At 35.2% G+C, this 17,113-nt stretch overlaps 1 protein-coding gene across 3 annotated transcripts in view, besides 1 other annotated feature; it reads left to right on the top strand.

Moving 5' to 3' along the window:
* Window positions 1-17,113, top strand: part of CDH2 (cadherin 2) — a 244,252-nt gene that overhangs the window by 58,299 nt on the left and 168,840 nt on the right. The gene's annotated exons all lie outside the window — the stretch shown is intronic.
* Window positions 3,333-3,627: a silencer, noted in NCBI's record as "tiled region #6705; HepG2 Repressive non-DNase unmatched - State 7:EnhWF, and K562 Repressive non-DNase unmatched - State 24:Quies". NCBI's record gives its function as "represses a minimal TATA promoter and a strong SV40 promoter by Sharpr-MPRA in HepG2 and K562 cells {active_cell/tissue: HepG2 | K562}" and the evidence as "EXISTENCE:reporter gene assay evidence [ECO:0000049][PMID:27701403]".

Genomic DNA, 17,113 nt, shown 5'->3' with positions numbered 1-17,113 from the left:
TTTCCCATTTAATTAGACTGTAATTTGGGGACTTTTTAGAATGAACAATCTTAATAAAAGGCTGGTTTTGATATAAAATTAGTGGAATATGTCAATAACTACTAAGGTATACGGCCTAAGTCTTCCTTCCTTAGGTGCACTATTTTGTTTTTATTCTTAAAATCCAAAACAGTAAATTTTGCTATGATTCCCATACTGCTCACAACCTAAAGTCAGCGCACACACACACACACACACACACTGAACTAAATTTAAAAACAGACTAATTAAACTGTAAATGCATTATAAAACAACAACAACAACAAAGAACACTTGGCTCACCCAGTTTTGTCTTGCTTTGTGTCATTCTTTTTAATGAGAACTGTGGAATTTGTTCTTTTTAACAATATTCTTTGAAAATAGGTTGATTATTTTCTTTGATTATTTAATTGCATTAAAATAGTGAGGATCAATATTGATGTTACTAAAAGTCATACATAATAGAAGATGGAGCACTTTGGCTGTAAATGTGCAGCAGTGCATTTGTGGCAAAATCAGCATTTGTTCCTAATTCCTTTTTTCCTGTTGCATTTCTGTCCCCTCACTTCTTACTCTTCTTTCCATCTCAAACTGCTCTCGGTTCTTTAACACAGGTGTATGTGAATATTAATTATCATAGAGATAACTTTTGAAGGATTCGGTTTTATTGTATGGATAGAACATCATTGGGGATATATTTAAAAAAAAAAACAGAACTCAGCAGAAAAAAAGGAAAGTGTGTGTTGCCCTAAACTTGATGGGAGGGTAGATAATATTTAAATAAGGATGCAGATGGAACATCACTGCTCTTTGCTTTTATTTTTAATAAATTAAGTCAGATGAAGCCCTTAAGTTCTGATATATGAAAACTCTTAATATTTTTCCCAGGGTGGTGCATGTCATTTAGATGACAGGTGGCCTAACATACTAGAAAGAGTAATAGTCTAGGAGTCAGGCAACTTGGGATTGGGGTTTGGCTCAGCTGCTAACTTCATTATAAACTTACCTGGTGTGTACGACCTCTGGGTGCCATTTTCTCGTCTGTAAATTGCAGGCTTTGCACTACGTGGTTACTGAAATTACTCTTAGATCTGTGATTATCATTTTACTGGCCACTTTTGTCTTAAAACCAATATAAAGTAAAACAAAAAATGAGCATTTTTCAAGAGCCACCTTCTGCAAAGTGGGATTTGTGCACACATCTGTATAATTCATCTTCCTTTGAGGCTATGAACTTTTCTTGATAGTTTAAACTCTTTGTGAATCTATTTTGTGACCTAGTGATCCTAGGCTCTGGTGTCTGTGGTACAGCATGGAGCCTCTTTCTACTGTATTGTAGGAGCACTTAAAATCTCTGAACCAGCTCACAAGTGAAGCTGTTGGTGTGTGCTTGGTGTAAGCAGCCCTAACCCTAGTGTATATGCCACAGCGTGGGCCAGGTGGCCAGCCTGGAAGGGATATCTATGTCCTGCTAGTTGTGAACATTTATCCAAGTCATATATTTTTCCTTTAGCCATATTCCCCTGCAATCACATGTCTGGCCATATGGATTTAGTTTATTTAATTTGAGATTGGTATATCCAGTCTCAGTTAATCTTATTTAGAGCAATTTGTTTTTTTACAAGTATGTGAGTGGATGCCTTTTTGTGTGCCATGGCATCCCCTTTTTGTGGCAGCAATTTTAATTTAAAGAGAATATTAAATAGCAGCATAAAAATCAGTAAGATAAAGCAAGCCACTTCTCAAACTTCAAAAATTAGAAGATTTATCTCAAATACATTGTAATTTGTGAGGGAGGAAGAGTACAAAAATCAGATCGTGGGCACATCTGTAGGAGATGAGGCTGCTTAGTGAACCCTACTCCGCCTACAAAATTTGAGTAATCTAGTTTTTTAAAAGATAAAATACTGATTCTTCTCCCTTCATTACTGAGACAGGTACTTATTATATAAAACAAGCAGCTATTCCTTTAGAGTATGCCAGTGTTAATTCTTTCAGGTAGCACCGGTATCTTTAGTAAAGCTGGGTCAGTTCTCTAAGTCAGGAGTTCACACTTTGAGGCACTCAGACCTTGAGCATTCATTGTATTACACTGATTCTGTGCTCAAGATCAAAGACAAACAGGGAAATGACAATCATTAGCTGGTTTTGTATAAAAACCTTGAATGTCAGTGACCTTTGGTATCATCTGGCTTAGTCTACCCTTTTGGGAGTTGTTTCTAAAATAGGCACATCCATGGTCATTCACTCTCCACTGAAAATCTTGCAGTGATAACTGACTTCCTATTGAAATAGTGATTTCCTCAAGAAACTTTGCTTTGTTCTAAGCTAAAATTCATGTGGCTTGACTCAACATAGTTTATAAAAGGACACTCAAAATAATACCTAGAGTCTGAGGAGAAAATGTGCTAAAACAGTAAAATTTAAAACATGATTCAAAAATGTCACATTATTATTTTCGTTGTTACAGATGCTTGGGCTTCAAAGCCCAGAAACTGTTTGATTATTAAACTATCTTGCCTAGTGGCCTCTCCCTAACAAGTTGCCTTTTTTATATGCCAGGCCATATGGATTGAAAAGTAAAATTTCAAAAAAAATACACCTACCGAAGACATTAAGCCAGGGTTTTTCAACCTCAGCACTGTTGGCATTTTGAACCAGATAATTCTTTGATGTATAGGGTCGTCGTTCTGTGAATTATAGATTGTTTAGCAGCATTCCTGACCTCTACCCATTAGAATTCACAGGTGTGACAACCGAAGTTTCTCCAAAGATTGCCAGATTTTACCAGAAGCCAAAATCACCCCTGGTTGAGAACCACTTCATTAAATAAACAAATGATTATTATCACTGTTTAACATAGAAAAATGTTTGAATGAATGCTTTTCCAAGAAAGAATAACGTGGCAAACTTCAGGTGACCTAATAAAAATGCAGTGTAAAAACTTCATGAGATTTACTGAATTTGCTTGTTTTCTTGATAGCTGTTTGAAAAATTCAGAACAGCATGAGATGAAGTAGAGTGCGGATATTCCACGTGTTCTGTCACTTAAAAAAAAGTGTCGTAAAATTCACATAGACATGTTTGTATAAATGGAAGTCATCATTTTAATTCAGTTTCCTGACTTTGGAATAATCTTGGAAAATTGGAAAGCTGGCCCATAATAAATTGGTTGTGGTGGTTCCTGTGTGGTTCTGGATGAGGGCCGCAGCCATCTTCTGTCTATCCTCAGGATTGTGTAGCTGGGGGCCCTGGTATCAGGAATTTCTCTGAGCAAGATACCAGGAACCAGTGGAAGCTTTGTCACCAGCCAGTAGGAGACAGTTGCCCTGGCCCATGTTTGATAATCCTTAGGGTTGACTGGTTTCACTTCTGCTAAGTCACTGGTGGATGTTGTGGTGGTCAGCACCAGGACAGCACAGTGATTCACACTGGGATATTCCTGCATCTTCCAGTTTGGAGGGTCTGGAGAACAGGGGAGTAACTAAAACAGTATGACTCATGCCCCACTTCCCACAAGGCATTTTTTGTGGAAGTAGTTGCTATGGGCAATCCCCTGTGGGCAGAGGAATCTTTGTCAGGAATCTCTTTCATAAAAAGCTGCAGCCTCAACACCTACCCCAGGAGCTAGCGCTCTGAGTAACGCCAGGTCTTTCTGGATATCAGTTTGTTTCCCAGGCTTTAAGGACAGGTTGAAGACTCCTGCCACTCCAAGGTTCTCAGCCCACTGAATTTCTGTAGGCAAGAAACGTTCTCCTCCCTCTTGGAGATCACTGGAACATGACTTAGGAACCCCTGTTACACTTAGCTGGACTGGGCAAGAAAACGGTTGAGAACAACAAGGAGCCTAACAATTTTTGACAAACTGAATTTAAACCTTAAAGCTATTCATTGTAAGACTTTTTTTTATAATTTTTTTTTTTGCATTCTGTAGGCAGCCTACAATTTAGATGGAGAAGAATACATTCATTTTTTTTTAAGAAGATGGACAGGTTGAGTCTAAGGTTGTAGTGTGCCTAAGGTCATGGCATATTAATAACAGATTCTGGATGTGAAAATTTAGAAGCCCTATAACTAAAATCTCTCATGACTTAGTAACTTAAGTATTTTACTGACACCGGGTCCAGACAACGTCAACTTTGAACTACAGCTTGATATGTGAGTCATTATTAAAAACCACCTTTGACTGCTCCATGGCAAAGGAATTTAAAGGAGAAGAACATAATTTAAATGAAACTAAAGCCCATTTTATTGCTCATCAATTGTCAGGCCAATTTAGGAAAAATTCAAGTATAAGTTTAATCCAGATATAAAATATTGAATCACTTTTTTTTCCGATTGGATATATGTTTCTGTTTATATACTGTTTATATGAGGACCAATAGAAAAAATAGTGTACTGTGTGCATAGAGGCTTGGAATCAATTGGAAGTACTCTAAGATCCAGTTCTCTTGCCCCATCTAACATCTTTTTTCTTTGACCAATAATGGTTGTACATATTCATGGGCTACATAGAGATATTTCTATACATATAATGTATATTGATCAGATCAAAGTAATTAGCATATTCATTAGCACGCACAAACATTTGTCATTTGTTTTGTTGGGAATGTTCAGTGTCTTCCTTCTAGCTATTTGAAACTATGAAATATTGTTAGTGTCATCCTACAGTGCTATAGAACACTAGAATTTATTCCTCCTATATAGTCGTAATTTTGTATCCTTTAACAAATCTCTCTCTATCCCTCCCTCCCCAGCCTCTAGTATCCTCTCCCACCTAACATCTTACTTGTTGGAGGATGCCACTACTAAATACTATGAAATCTGATTTCATTCCAAATGACTGCTCTTGTTTTAGATAGTCTTTTTCCTTTTTCTTTCTCCAGATACTGTCATTTTTCCTTCACGATTTTTAAAAGGAAAATGCATATTTTCATTGTGCCTCTTGGGAGTTTGTATAAATTACTCAGTCTTTTATAAATTACTCAGCCTTTTATGGAGTGTAACTTTATATACATTAAGAGTCATCTTTAAAAGCTCAAAGGAATTTATAGCAGTATTGAATATTCCCTGTCTTTTTTTCAGAGCTAATTCTGTTATTTTTTTAAACTATGTGTATTTTATACAGTATTCCAAGGAAGAGGATTCTGTAAAAATGCCCATAGTAGTAGAAATGTTTTGGTCCCATCTCATCAGCTATGAAGCTATCTAAATCCAAATCATTCTTATTTTAGTTATGCTAAATCTACCTCGCCTTCCCTTCTTAGGCAGTGGAGAATATTTGTGCCACGTCTTTGGTAAACATATTTCTTTTTTTCATCATCTTTTTTTTTTTTTTCCTTTTGCTGGCTTACCTCAGTATATTGACACTTCTGCATTCCAGATGATTAACTATGTAGGTATTTAAATGTTCTGTTCAATATGGTAGCCAGTAGCCATATGTAACTATTGATCATTTTTAATGTGGTTGCCTTGGATTTTGAAGACCAAGTACCAAAAAAAGAATATAAAATGTCTCCTTTTAAAATATTGATTATATATTGAAATGATAATATTTTGGATATATTGGGTTAAATAAAATATGCTATTAAAATCCATTCACCTGTTTCTTTTTACCTTTTTAATCTGGCTGCTGGAAACTTTCAAATTACACTTGCAGCTTACCTCATACTTCCACTGTCCTAATTCCTATATAGATGCTTTGCACTATAGTATCCACATTCAGTGTTTTATTCAAGGTCTGATAAATATCAGTTGTATTGAAAGGAGATTTATTATCATCATAGTCCACACATACTTCCCAGTGCATTTACCTACCCCCCTGGCATTCTTAAATTTTAGCAAAGTTGATTTATTTTTTCTTATTGTTTTGAGTCCACAGATTTGGCCTCTTTGATTCCTTTTTCTGTGTTGTCTCTGCTGTTGACTTTTCTTCAGTAAGAGAATTAGGATACACTCTTGCAAAGCCTGTATGCCTTGTTTGCTTGCCAGCCTGTGGAAATAAGGAGCCTTAGAGTGTGGCTTTGATCTCCACTTTGAAGTAGGTAAATCTGCTACTCTGAATGTGGGCAGGGATCCTCGGGAAATTGTTGTTGTTGTTGTTGTTGTTTTTCTCTTTTCCTGTAAAACAAGGTTTGAATGACTAATTAGAAGATATTTATAAGAGCCTACATACTTCATGGTAGTAAAGGTTATTGGCTTATTAAAAAGATGATCATGAGAACTATAATGTAGTTTTAAGAAACTTTCTTTTAGAAAACCTGCCTGTTAACTTATTTTAAGTGCGTTTGAAGTTATGAGTGAAATTTTACATAAACTTCACAGCCTTTTGCTGAATCCACCACCTCGGTGCCTCCTTCAAAGGAATTTGAGTCGGCCTCTTTACTGGCCATTTGGTATCATCTCTGCTGTGAGCCAGACAGAATCTTTTTCCACTCATTCAGATCATGGTGTGGAATTCTGTGGGCAAGACATCACTAACCCATTTTAGGACAGTGAAAACAGCAAGTCAGAAGGTTTTATTTTGGTTCAGTGAATTTGCCTGTGACCGTGGAGCTAAAATATGAAACAAACCAGCTCTGGAGACACAGAGTCTTGCATTTATAGTGGGGGTGATTAGATAAGTGGTCTGCTGGTGACATGGACGTGATTCATGCTCTATCTGCTGATGACTAAACTTTCCAAATACTTTCAGTGTACTGATAGTACATTTCTTAAATGCTAAATATATCTAACTGTTAACAGCTAATTGTCTGTCGGGCTCATTGTCTGTTACCCTTAAATGCTAAGGTCAGACTGTCCTTCTAGTTTTGTAGATAGAAGAATATGTGTGGCAGAGGCCAGGGAAGAAAATCTATAAAAAATGAGGGTATACTTGTAAAAGTTTGTTAGTTTAAAATTTTGAAAGTAATTATTTTAACTGCAGTTTAAACTGTTTACATTTTTTTCTTGTTATTTATTCTTATTCAGTTCAGAACAGAATCATAGAACTTTACATCTGAGAAAAAAAACTTGAAAGATCATGTGTTTCAAGCTCTTAATCTTTCCCTGTTGCATATTAGTATACTGGGTTTAAACAGGTGAATGACATTTTCAATCTTTATGCTAATTGATAGCATGGGTTAACGCAAAATTTGGCACTCTGACATTGAGGTTGAGTGTTCTTTCTGCCAGGGTTTGACTTCACTCAAAAGTTTCAGGTTGATCAAGACATCTGGGAACTCAGTGTTTTGAATTTCAGAGAGCCGGCACCTGCCTCTCTGATTCTCAGTTCATTTATAAAATGCTAGGTCTTGGATAGATCGTTTCTAAGATTATCGTTTTGCTCCCACAAATTATAGGACGGAGTGCTTTCCTTCTTTTTCTTTGATGTGGACAACATTCTTACCTCGAATACATGTTTTCAGTCTTTTAAAAAGCCACTTCTGTTCCAAAGTTATGCTAACTAATATTGAAAATCCAGATGAAATTTCATTGCTTGGGGGTTTGGGATTGGGGTCACGTATGCACGTGCTACACCCATGCCTCGAAATATCTCTGTCTAGGTCAGCAAGTGGGCTCCGGGACAGAGGAGAAGGCTGAGGCTAAGCTGCGGAGGCTTTGAGGTTTGATAATAGAAGTCCTCCTCTGTTGTTTTCTTCCCTGGCAGCATTTGATTTGCCTCTTTCCAATGCCTGTAAGTAGGCCAGGGGCGCCACTGCAGACTGGGCTTGGGAGTCGATAGGAGAGCTGATAAGAACTCTCTTTTTGCAACACTGAGCAAGAAGGCCCATCTTCCATGACTCTGCACAGACCGATGGCTGGATGGGCATTTTCTTTCTTTTTCAGCCTCTTTCCTTTCTCATGCTAACCTCATTTAGCTTGATGTACTCCGAGTCCTGCTTGATCTAGAAGTGGACCCCGGAGAGAGCGTGGCTTGGCGAAGAGAACCAACAATTTAGAGAATAGTGGTTTGGGTTCTATAGCCATCTTTGTCCTGTGCAGCTGGATACCTTTGGCCACATCTTACCACCTCTCTTTGGCCTCCATTGCAGCCTATATAGATATAGGTGTCTTTTTCATTTGAATTCTTGTTGCAGTAAATAACATATTCACTTTAGCAATTACAGTATGCATTGATTTCACGATCATTAATTTCTTTCTTTTAGTGGCAAAAAGAAATCCTCAGTCTACTTTTAGTTTCCCAAAAGCATCTATATTCATGATCCCACTTCTCATGACTCCTGCTATTGCTTAGGTAGATTGGCCCAGTAGCTTGCAGAACAGAGTCGTTATTTCAGGCATGAGGAACAAAAGCAAAGGCTTTTGCAATGAGAATTGGCCATTGCTGTGTGCATTTGGCCGCAGTCAACTGACTTCTTTTCTTGGTCTGTCTGCATTACTCCCTTTTTCCTAAATTTGATTCTGACTGAATTCCTGGCTGAAGTGGCTGCAGCAGTCTCTTACTCCTGGCCTTAACTCAGCATCTCACAAAGGGCTCAGGTTCATTCTCAAGAAATAATTTATGCAGTGAAAGCATGTGGCTGACAGAGGGTCCCATGTAGGGAGACACTGTTTTGTTATGTTAGTCTTTGGCTGCAACTAAAGCAAAGCAGAATTAACTACGGGATAATGCTAAACAGCGGAGATAACAGCAGAGGTCCCTGTATGTAATTAGTACAGCATGAGTGTGTTCTCATTTCATGTGTTTACATGGGCAACACCAAGTTCTTAATTCAGAAAGGGAATAAACTCCTAAGTGTGTTGGGTTATTGCCTCTTACCTCAGAAAAGGACACCATATGGCCTTGTATTTGTATGCTCTTGCCATGACAATTCCTTCTGTCAAAAGTGATTTTCTCCAAAAGTATGGTATGTACATTCTTGGGCAGTCATTCAAAAAAGGAAAGGAATAGCCTTTGTTAACCCGCATTTTTGAAAGTACTATTTTGGCATATGAAAGAGGAATCAATAACACTTTATACATGCTGACACTATGTGCTTTTTGTTATTGTAAGAATCTATAATTTCATAAACTGTAAGAAAAGCTTTCTTCTTGATCTTCAGATTACCTGGACGTGGAATTTTTAAAAAAGAGTTTCATATACTTAAGTGTTAGAGAAAAGTGTCAAGAGATTTTTGACACCAGTTATTTGTGAATTCACCTGGAAGCTAAGACTTGGTTTTGTCTTGAATGATACTGAAATTTGCAATAATAAATAATTCTCCAGTTTTTGAGAATAACAGTGCAGAGTTTCTTATTTGTATGGTTATTCCCTATCCAGCTCCTCCTATTGTCTTGTTTCTATGTATTACTATAATAATGTAACAGAGGTGTGGCCAAAGAATTCAGCTGTAAGTTTTCATTATGTTCAGTGAATCTTCCTCTTTAACTACCGCATGAACTGTGTAAGGAGGAGAAAAACTTTACTGTTTACTTCCAACAGTGTAGGGATGTAGGAATTCCTCCACTTAAAATTGGAGGGCATTTCATGTTTTGCCACTTCTTTGCAAATTAGTAAAACATTTTCTGACATAACAGTGTTAAACATTTGTTTTAAACAGAAAAAGCTTACTTGTGGTCACAGGCCAGTCTACTAAAATACATTTATTTTGCAGCATAGATACCTTGTTTCTATGGAAAATATTCTTAATTTGATTGGCCATTTTAAGCGTGAATATTCTCTCTTATTTCTTACTAGCTCCAGTAATAGGAGTTTGTAGATACAGTATTTAGGTCATTAGCAGCCTAATTATTCTCCCATGGCATGGTGGCTGTGGTTCAGATGCTGGTTTAATAAGATTAATCATGCTGCTTTTAGCACTGGAGAAGGCGCTGTTGTGTTGTCAAAGTATTTAATGTTCAACAGGAACACAGCCTGTTGAGGTATGACTAAACTTGAGTTTTATGATTCTGCCTTTCATGATTTGCCAGGTAAATGGAATTCTGCAGAGTAGGAGGGAAGAGAGGGGAAGTTTTTTTATTTATTTAGACACCCTTGCTTCTACGTGAGGTTAAGAAAATTTGGGGAAAGCTGTTTCTGTCTTTTTTTTTTTTTTAGGTACATCTATGTTTTTTGCAAAGCACAGTTTACATCTTTAGGAAATGGCTAGTAACACCTGATAAAGCTCTGCTTAATGCAAAATAGTATCACAGAATAAACTTGAATTTGTAATTTTGTAATTGAAATTTACATATATTGAGCATGCGCAAATGCATTTTGGAGACTTAGAATAAACTTGATTTTATGAAATTCCTCATAAATTGGATGGGTTCTGTTACAGGGACACAAATGTGTCTTTGAGCAGCTGCTTGATTAAAAGCTGAGCCCCAGTGTGTCAGGGTGAGTTAGACTTGGCCAGGACTCAAGTGTATGTGATTGCATTTCATCTATTTGCTATCTCAACAAATGGATCTTTTCCTTGAGTATTTGTAGTTTGTCCTTCAGCAATGACTAGATATACCAATGACTGTAGATTCCAGTGACCAGAAAGAGTTAATGATGCTTTTCTGTAGAATGTTTCTCATAGTAGTTTAAACATTTATAGATCCAATAAGCAACTGAGAGTTTTCCACACTTTTTCAGATCTTTGGAAGTTGTCTCCAAATCCTGATCCAAAGCAAATGAGGCCATTTATCTTCCCAGGGGTTTCCATGCCCTCTCAACACCTATCTGTTAATGGGATAAGTAAGGGTAGTTTTTACTTCTTGAAACCTGCAGGCTATCAAATAGAGAGGAAAAAAAAATGGGAAGGTTACTGTTTCCTCTGTCTACCAGGTTTTATTATGGAAACTGTTCGCCAGATAATTGGGTTTAATTTGTAACAGAGGGGAAGATTTGTATTGTAAACAAGAAAGTTCTTTGAAGATAAATCTCATCAGTAGCTGTTGGAAGGATACTGGAGGAAACTGTGAATGTTTTTTAATGGCCTAGAATGGGAGGGTGTTTTTCTTTTTTCTTTTTTCCTTTTCTTTTCCGCTAGACTACAAAGTGTTAGCGGGGCTAGAAGGTGATAATTGGTAGTCTTCACCTGATTCCTTTTTTTTTAAATGGCTAATTAAAATGCATAAAACCTTCCACTTTTTTGTCCCCAAAGGAAAACATACTATTTTTGACATCTGCCTTTTTTGACCTGCTGCACTCTTTCCTGGTATGCTCTGTGTTTTATTGACTGCTTCTTTATACAGTTGAGAAGAGCTCTAATATGCTTATTTGTAACTTTTAAATATTAGGAGAATAAGTCCTACTTGTAAATGTAAGGTATGTACCAGTATTTATCAGTGTTATGGCATACATATTATACTCCTATTAAGTCATTTATTTGGTTCTCGTATTTTCTACATTGGACTTTTTATTATTTAGTTTTGCATCATTTTAAGTGTCCTCAGGTATACAGTTTTCTATATTACAATATATCACGGATTCAACAGTTTCCATTTTAATATGCATACCGTCATACACTCCATATTCTGTGGTCACACCAACTAATTTTTTCAACATTTTAAACACAGTATTGGTAGGTTTTGAGTTTGGAGTATTTTAGTTTCACTACAGTACTACAGACTTCACTTTAAAGCTGTAGGTGTCTTCTTTCTTTACATAACAATAATATATTATTTATATTATATGTATATTGTTTCATAAAGGAAAAGAAATTTATTAGATCTTTGAAATGATTAACGTTGATTTTGTAGTCTGAAATGGTGCGAGAATTTCCAGAAATATTGCTGCAGTAAATGGACTATAGTAGTATATTTTAGTTTTGCCTGATTTTAATTGTCAAACTTGTGGAGTTTTTCAGCTTCACTGTTTTCAAGTTTCTCATCATCTCACAAAATATTCATGGAATTGGTAATGAATGCCCAGTTGTGTGTGTGAGTATGTATTTAATCAGTGCCAGATTAGGTTGTCCCTTTGTATATAATTTTGACTTTCCTTGCTTATATCTATAATAATTTTCACTAAACATTTGTGTAACTAGGTAAACTGTAAAATAATTATCTCATGATATCTGTGACATAAATAATACAATTAGAGATGCTAAACTGAAATTATAAATTATACATTATTTTAAAGACTTGAATTTGATTTCTTTTAAATGCTCATACGTATTTACCATCATATAGTAAAAAGGTTTTAAAGAATAGTTAAGACAGAAACAAGGTCTATTAAATGGGACAGAAGTGCTGAAATTTACAAACAGAAAAGTAGCTCATCTTGTGGTCTTCCTCACTGTTCAGTGGTTACATGTGACATCATATTTTTAAATCATACCTAGAAATTTTTAACTGTACTGGATAATGTTTGTCTTCTTTGATGATAAAGACAAACCATCCATCTGGGAAGAAACAAAAAAAAAAACTCTGGTAAGTTGATGTCCATAACATAGATATAACACTTTTTTTTTTTTTCTTTCTTGAAATGCAATCTCACTCTGGCACCCAGACTGGAGTGCAGTAGCGCCATCTCGGCTCACTGCAACCGCCGCCTCCCAGGTTCAAGCGATTCTCCTGCCTCAGCCTCCTGAGTAGCTGGGACTACAGGTGCACACCACCATGCCCTGCTAATTTTTGTATTTTTAGGAAAGACAGGTTTTTGCCATGTTGGCCAGGCTGGTCTTGAACTCCTGACCTCAGATGATCCACCAGCCTTGGGCTCCCCAAGTGCTGGGATTATAGGTGTAAGCCACTGCACCCGGCCAGATATAACACTTTCTTATCCCACATTTGCTAATGGTGACTGACTACTGGCAGGATATTAAAATTTTCAAGAATCTCACATTAACTGCCTGAGCAGAGAACTTGTGAATAAGCACTGTGAGTTAAGTAACATCTTGAGGATATTAAAGAGAATGAATTCTACTCAATTCGTATCTATTACAACTTCTGGTTATTGCTTTTACAATAAATCCTCAATTAACTAATCTGCATAGTAGAGAGGTTTTTGTCTGGTAAATTAAGTCATGTAGTTTACCAGAAACCCATTTTAATGTGAAGCTTTAATTTCAAACATCTTTGTAAGACGTATTAGGATACTTTGGTTATTAAGATTCTATTAATGAATGTAATTATATTTTAAATTAAGAACTATACATTGATGTGGGTGGATATTTTTCTGAATTTGAATTTTTATTTTTGAGTTTAAGGTCCATGACCCAGAAATTAGAGGTGTGTGAGAAAGGTTTACTGAATGACTGATATAAATTTGTTGTCAGTTTGAACTTTCCTTCTAGGTTTGGAGAAAAAATAATAATAATTTTTTAATTTATGTATAATTGATATGTTCTGTTTAATTGAGACTGTATTTTTTTTCTCATGAAAAGCTTATTTTGAAAATGATAGCAGGAATTTGGAAGTATTCCAGAACTCTGTAAAATTCATAGTTAATAATTTGTTTCATTCAGATTTATTTTGATTGGCATGTGATCCCTATGTTGTGTTCTGAATTATCTGAAATCACAACATCTTGATAGAGTTTGCTCTATTTCTGAATTGTTTTAAATAGTAACTTTAAAATTTGCATTAATTGAAAGGTACCTTGTCACAACATTTGCTTTGTGTCATGGAAGGTTATCTATATTTGGAAGTAACATTTTGGTAAAAGGAAGATTATGGAATATTTATGAACTTTCTCTCTCACAGATTCATAGATTTTTAGAACAGGATGGAACTTTAGAGCTTTTCAACCACAACCTTCTCAATTTACAGTTGAAGGAAATGAGTTCCGGAAAGATTAAATGACTTGCCCAAGGACACACAGCTAGAATAGTATAAGAAGGGTTGTGACCCAAGAAATCTGGCTCTAGATCAAGTGTTTTACCATTGAAAATTTTCTTCAATAAACATGATATAACATTTCTAAAAAAAAATCATGGTATCAAGCTAGACAGGAGTGAACTTTTACATATATTTTACATGTATTTCATTATGGTGAGTATCTATCTATCTACAAGTAAAATTATCATCCAAGATAATCATCTTCATTCACATAATTAATTCACAAACAGAATTAAGCATAATTCAGTAGGCGAAAAAGCATTTGATTACCTAAACATACATATAGATGGAACATATATCTATCTAGATAGAAGATAGATATATATTACAGATAGATAGATAGATAGATAGATAGATAGATAGATATGTATTTGCATCTATATGTATGTTTAGGTAATCAAATGTTTTTTTGTCTATTGAATTACATTTAATTCTGTTTGTGAATTAATCATGAGAATGAAGATGATTATCTTGGATAAAGATAATTTTACTTACACTTCTCACCCATTTTTAGGACTATTACTCCTTAATAAGAATAGCTCCATAAAATAATGGAAAAGCATAAGAATTCTATGTAAAACAGTTAGTTTGAATTCTTGGATTGCTTCATGGTTTTTAAAAAATATTTGAAGAAGGAGAAAAATTAAATATCTGTTTGTTATCCTTGATTTCAAGATATCAACAGTTACAACAATCTCCATTTTCCTGTTATCAAATTTTATGATAAAGAACAAATACCTGTGCACTTTTAAATCATTTTGATTTAGTCAGTTTCTTCAGAAGAAAAGACTTTAGGGTTCTTTTAATGAATATATGGTAAATACTTTTATGGTCATAATATATGTTAGAGAACCTAAAGAAATTTTTGATAAGAGTGTTTATAGTAGTTCTTCATCATAAGTCTGTTTTAGTAACAAAAATCAATAACACAACCTGCTGGAATTAACACTGATTGTTTTCTTGGATAGGCAGACAGGAAAAAGTCATAGCCAGCTGGCATCAGGAATTACTGCAAGAGCTCAATGCCACTGGCCACAGCTGGCAGACTTTGCCAGAAAAAGTGGTGCCCCAACTTCTCCTGGGCCAGTGGTATTCATACTGTGTCACCCATTTTTCTATTGTAGAACCAAAAAAAATTAATAGTATTTAAAATTTCTGGTGATTTTTTTTATGTGTATATAAATATATAATACACCATGGAATACTATGCAGCCATATAAAAGTATGAGTTCATGTCCTTTGCAGGGACATGGATGAAGCTGGAAACCATCATTCTGAGCAAACTAACACATGAACAGAAAACTAGCTACCGCATGTTCTCACTCATAAGTGGGAATTGAATAATGAGAACACATGTATGCAGGGAGGGGAACATCACACACTGGGGCCTCTCAGGGGATGGGGGCTAGGGGGATGGATAGCATTAGGAGAAATACCTAATGTAGATGACGGGTTGATGGGTGCAGCAAACCACCATGGCATGTGTATACCTATGTAACAAACCTGCACGTTCTGCAGTGTATCCCAGAACTTAAAGTATATGTGTGTGTGTGTATATATGTGTGTGTGTGTGTGTGTATATATATACATACTTTATGTGTATATATATATATATAAACATACTTCATATATGTATACTTTATATATATACATACTTTATATATATGTACTTTATATATATACATCCTTTATATGTATTTTATATATATACTTTATATATATAAAGGAGTTTTTATATATATACTTTATATATATATAAAGGAGTTTTTATATATATACTTTATATATATAAAGGAGTTTTTATATATATACTTTATATATATATAAAGGAGTTTTTATATATGTACTTTATATATATATAAAGGAGTTTTTATATATATACTTTATATATATATAAAGGAGTTTATATATATATATAAGGAGTTTATTAATTGGGCATAAGTGTTTTATTTACATTACTTCATTTGTTTCTTCACTGACAGTTTACTGAGTATCAGCCTACTCTGAGTACCTAGTGTTAAGTAACTAGTGAAAACAGAGTATTTTTTATAGGCAAATAATAGGCTTTGATTATTTAAATCAGCACAGATATACGTAAGAAGTACTTCACCTGACTTCAAATTTACCCCCTAATTTTTTTTTTCATAATCTGAAACCAGTTTTAATTGCAGTGTTAGGGATTCCTAGATATTTAGCATTGCTCACCATAAACTGTAGCCTATTTTTATGCTTTATATTTTCTTCCAATTTCCATTTCAGTTTCTCAGATAAGTACTTTGAACCACTACTGCCCACCCCTTGCCACCTTTCCTCCCACAAATAAGTCAAGTAAATAAGGCCTCTCAATAGCAATAATTTGCTCCAAGCCACAAGATAAGTTTTAGGATTTTGTATATTTAATTTACATTAAGTGGCTAAACTCTTGACTTAAAAAGGCAAGGGAATAATTTGCATATTCATTATAAAATAAATAATCTGCTCTGCAATTGCTCTTTCCCAAGGCACCAACTACTGTCAGTCACTACTGGATAGTCAGTGTGAAAAGAAACCTCTTTTCTTGCACGTAGTCCATAGCTTTGCTCACAGGGCTGGATATATAGAATCAGAAAGCAAGGATATGGATAAGGATTGCCTTCTGTGTTTCCAGTTAAAAAACACCAGAACATTTCAAGAAATGATTCTGCAGAGATGGGTCAGAATACCCTCACTGTGCTTGAAATTTTCATTTCTTATTAACAATTCTTTAGGCAGTTTGTAGTCAATCAATTCCAAACACTTGGGATTTCATTTCTCCATTTAATATAATGAAAAAAAATAAGATTTTTTCTACTAAAATTAACTCATGATTTTTGGGTTTACGGAGAATGTAATACTTTGTCCCAAAGAGAGGGAGGAAACAGTTATTTTTGCTCTGTCTTCTAACTGGAAAAGTAGGACACAGGCAAATTTCTAGGAGACAAAGTTTCTGCTCCATGATTAAGGTGAGTGGATACGACTTGGGCATTTCTTTATGGGTGGCTGTGGGAAATAGGAACATGCTTTAACTTCTCAACCAGCACATTCCTCGTTTTTTTTCTCTTGAGCAATTTGAGAAATAGGAAGAGATGTAGGCAGAGATGGAGAGGGCAGAGAAAAACTGAAACAGGTGCGCAAGTGGTTAATTTTGCCTTTGGTAGGATATTCACTGTGACCAAAGTGGGGTGTGTTTGTAGGGTGAAGTGGTTTTTTTCTTTCTTATATTTGGAATTCTTAAGCAATCAAGGAAATTAGAAGCCCTTTCATGCTTAGGGTAGATTCTTTTTAATCTATTGTGTACCTCAAACTATGCAACTTAGTTTCC

This window comes from Homo sapiens, chromosome 18 (genome assembly GCF_000001405.40).
Source record: "Homo sapiens chromosome 18, GRCh38.p14 Primary Assembly".
NCBI lineage: Eukaryota > Metazoa > Chordata > Mammalia > Primates > Hominidae > Homo > Homo sapiens.
This window is presented reverse-complemented; position numbering and strand designations above follow the sequence as displayed.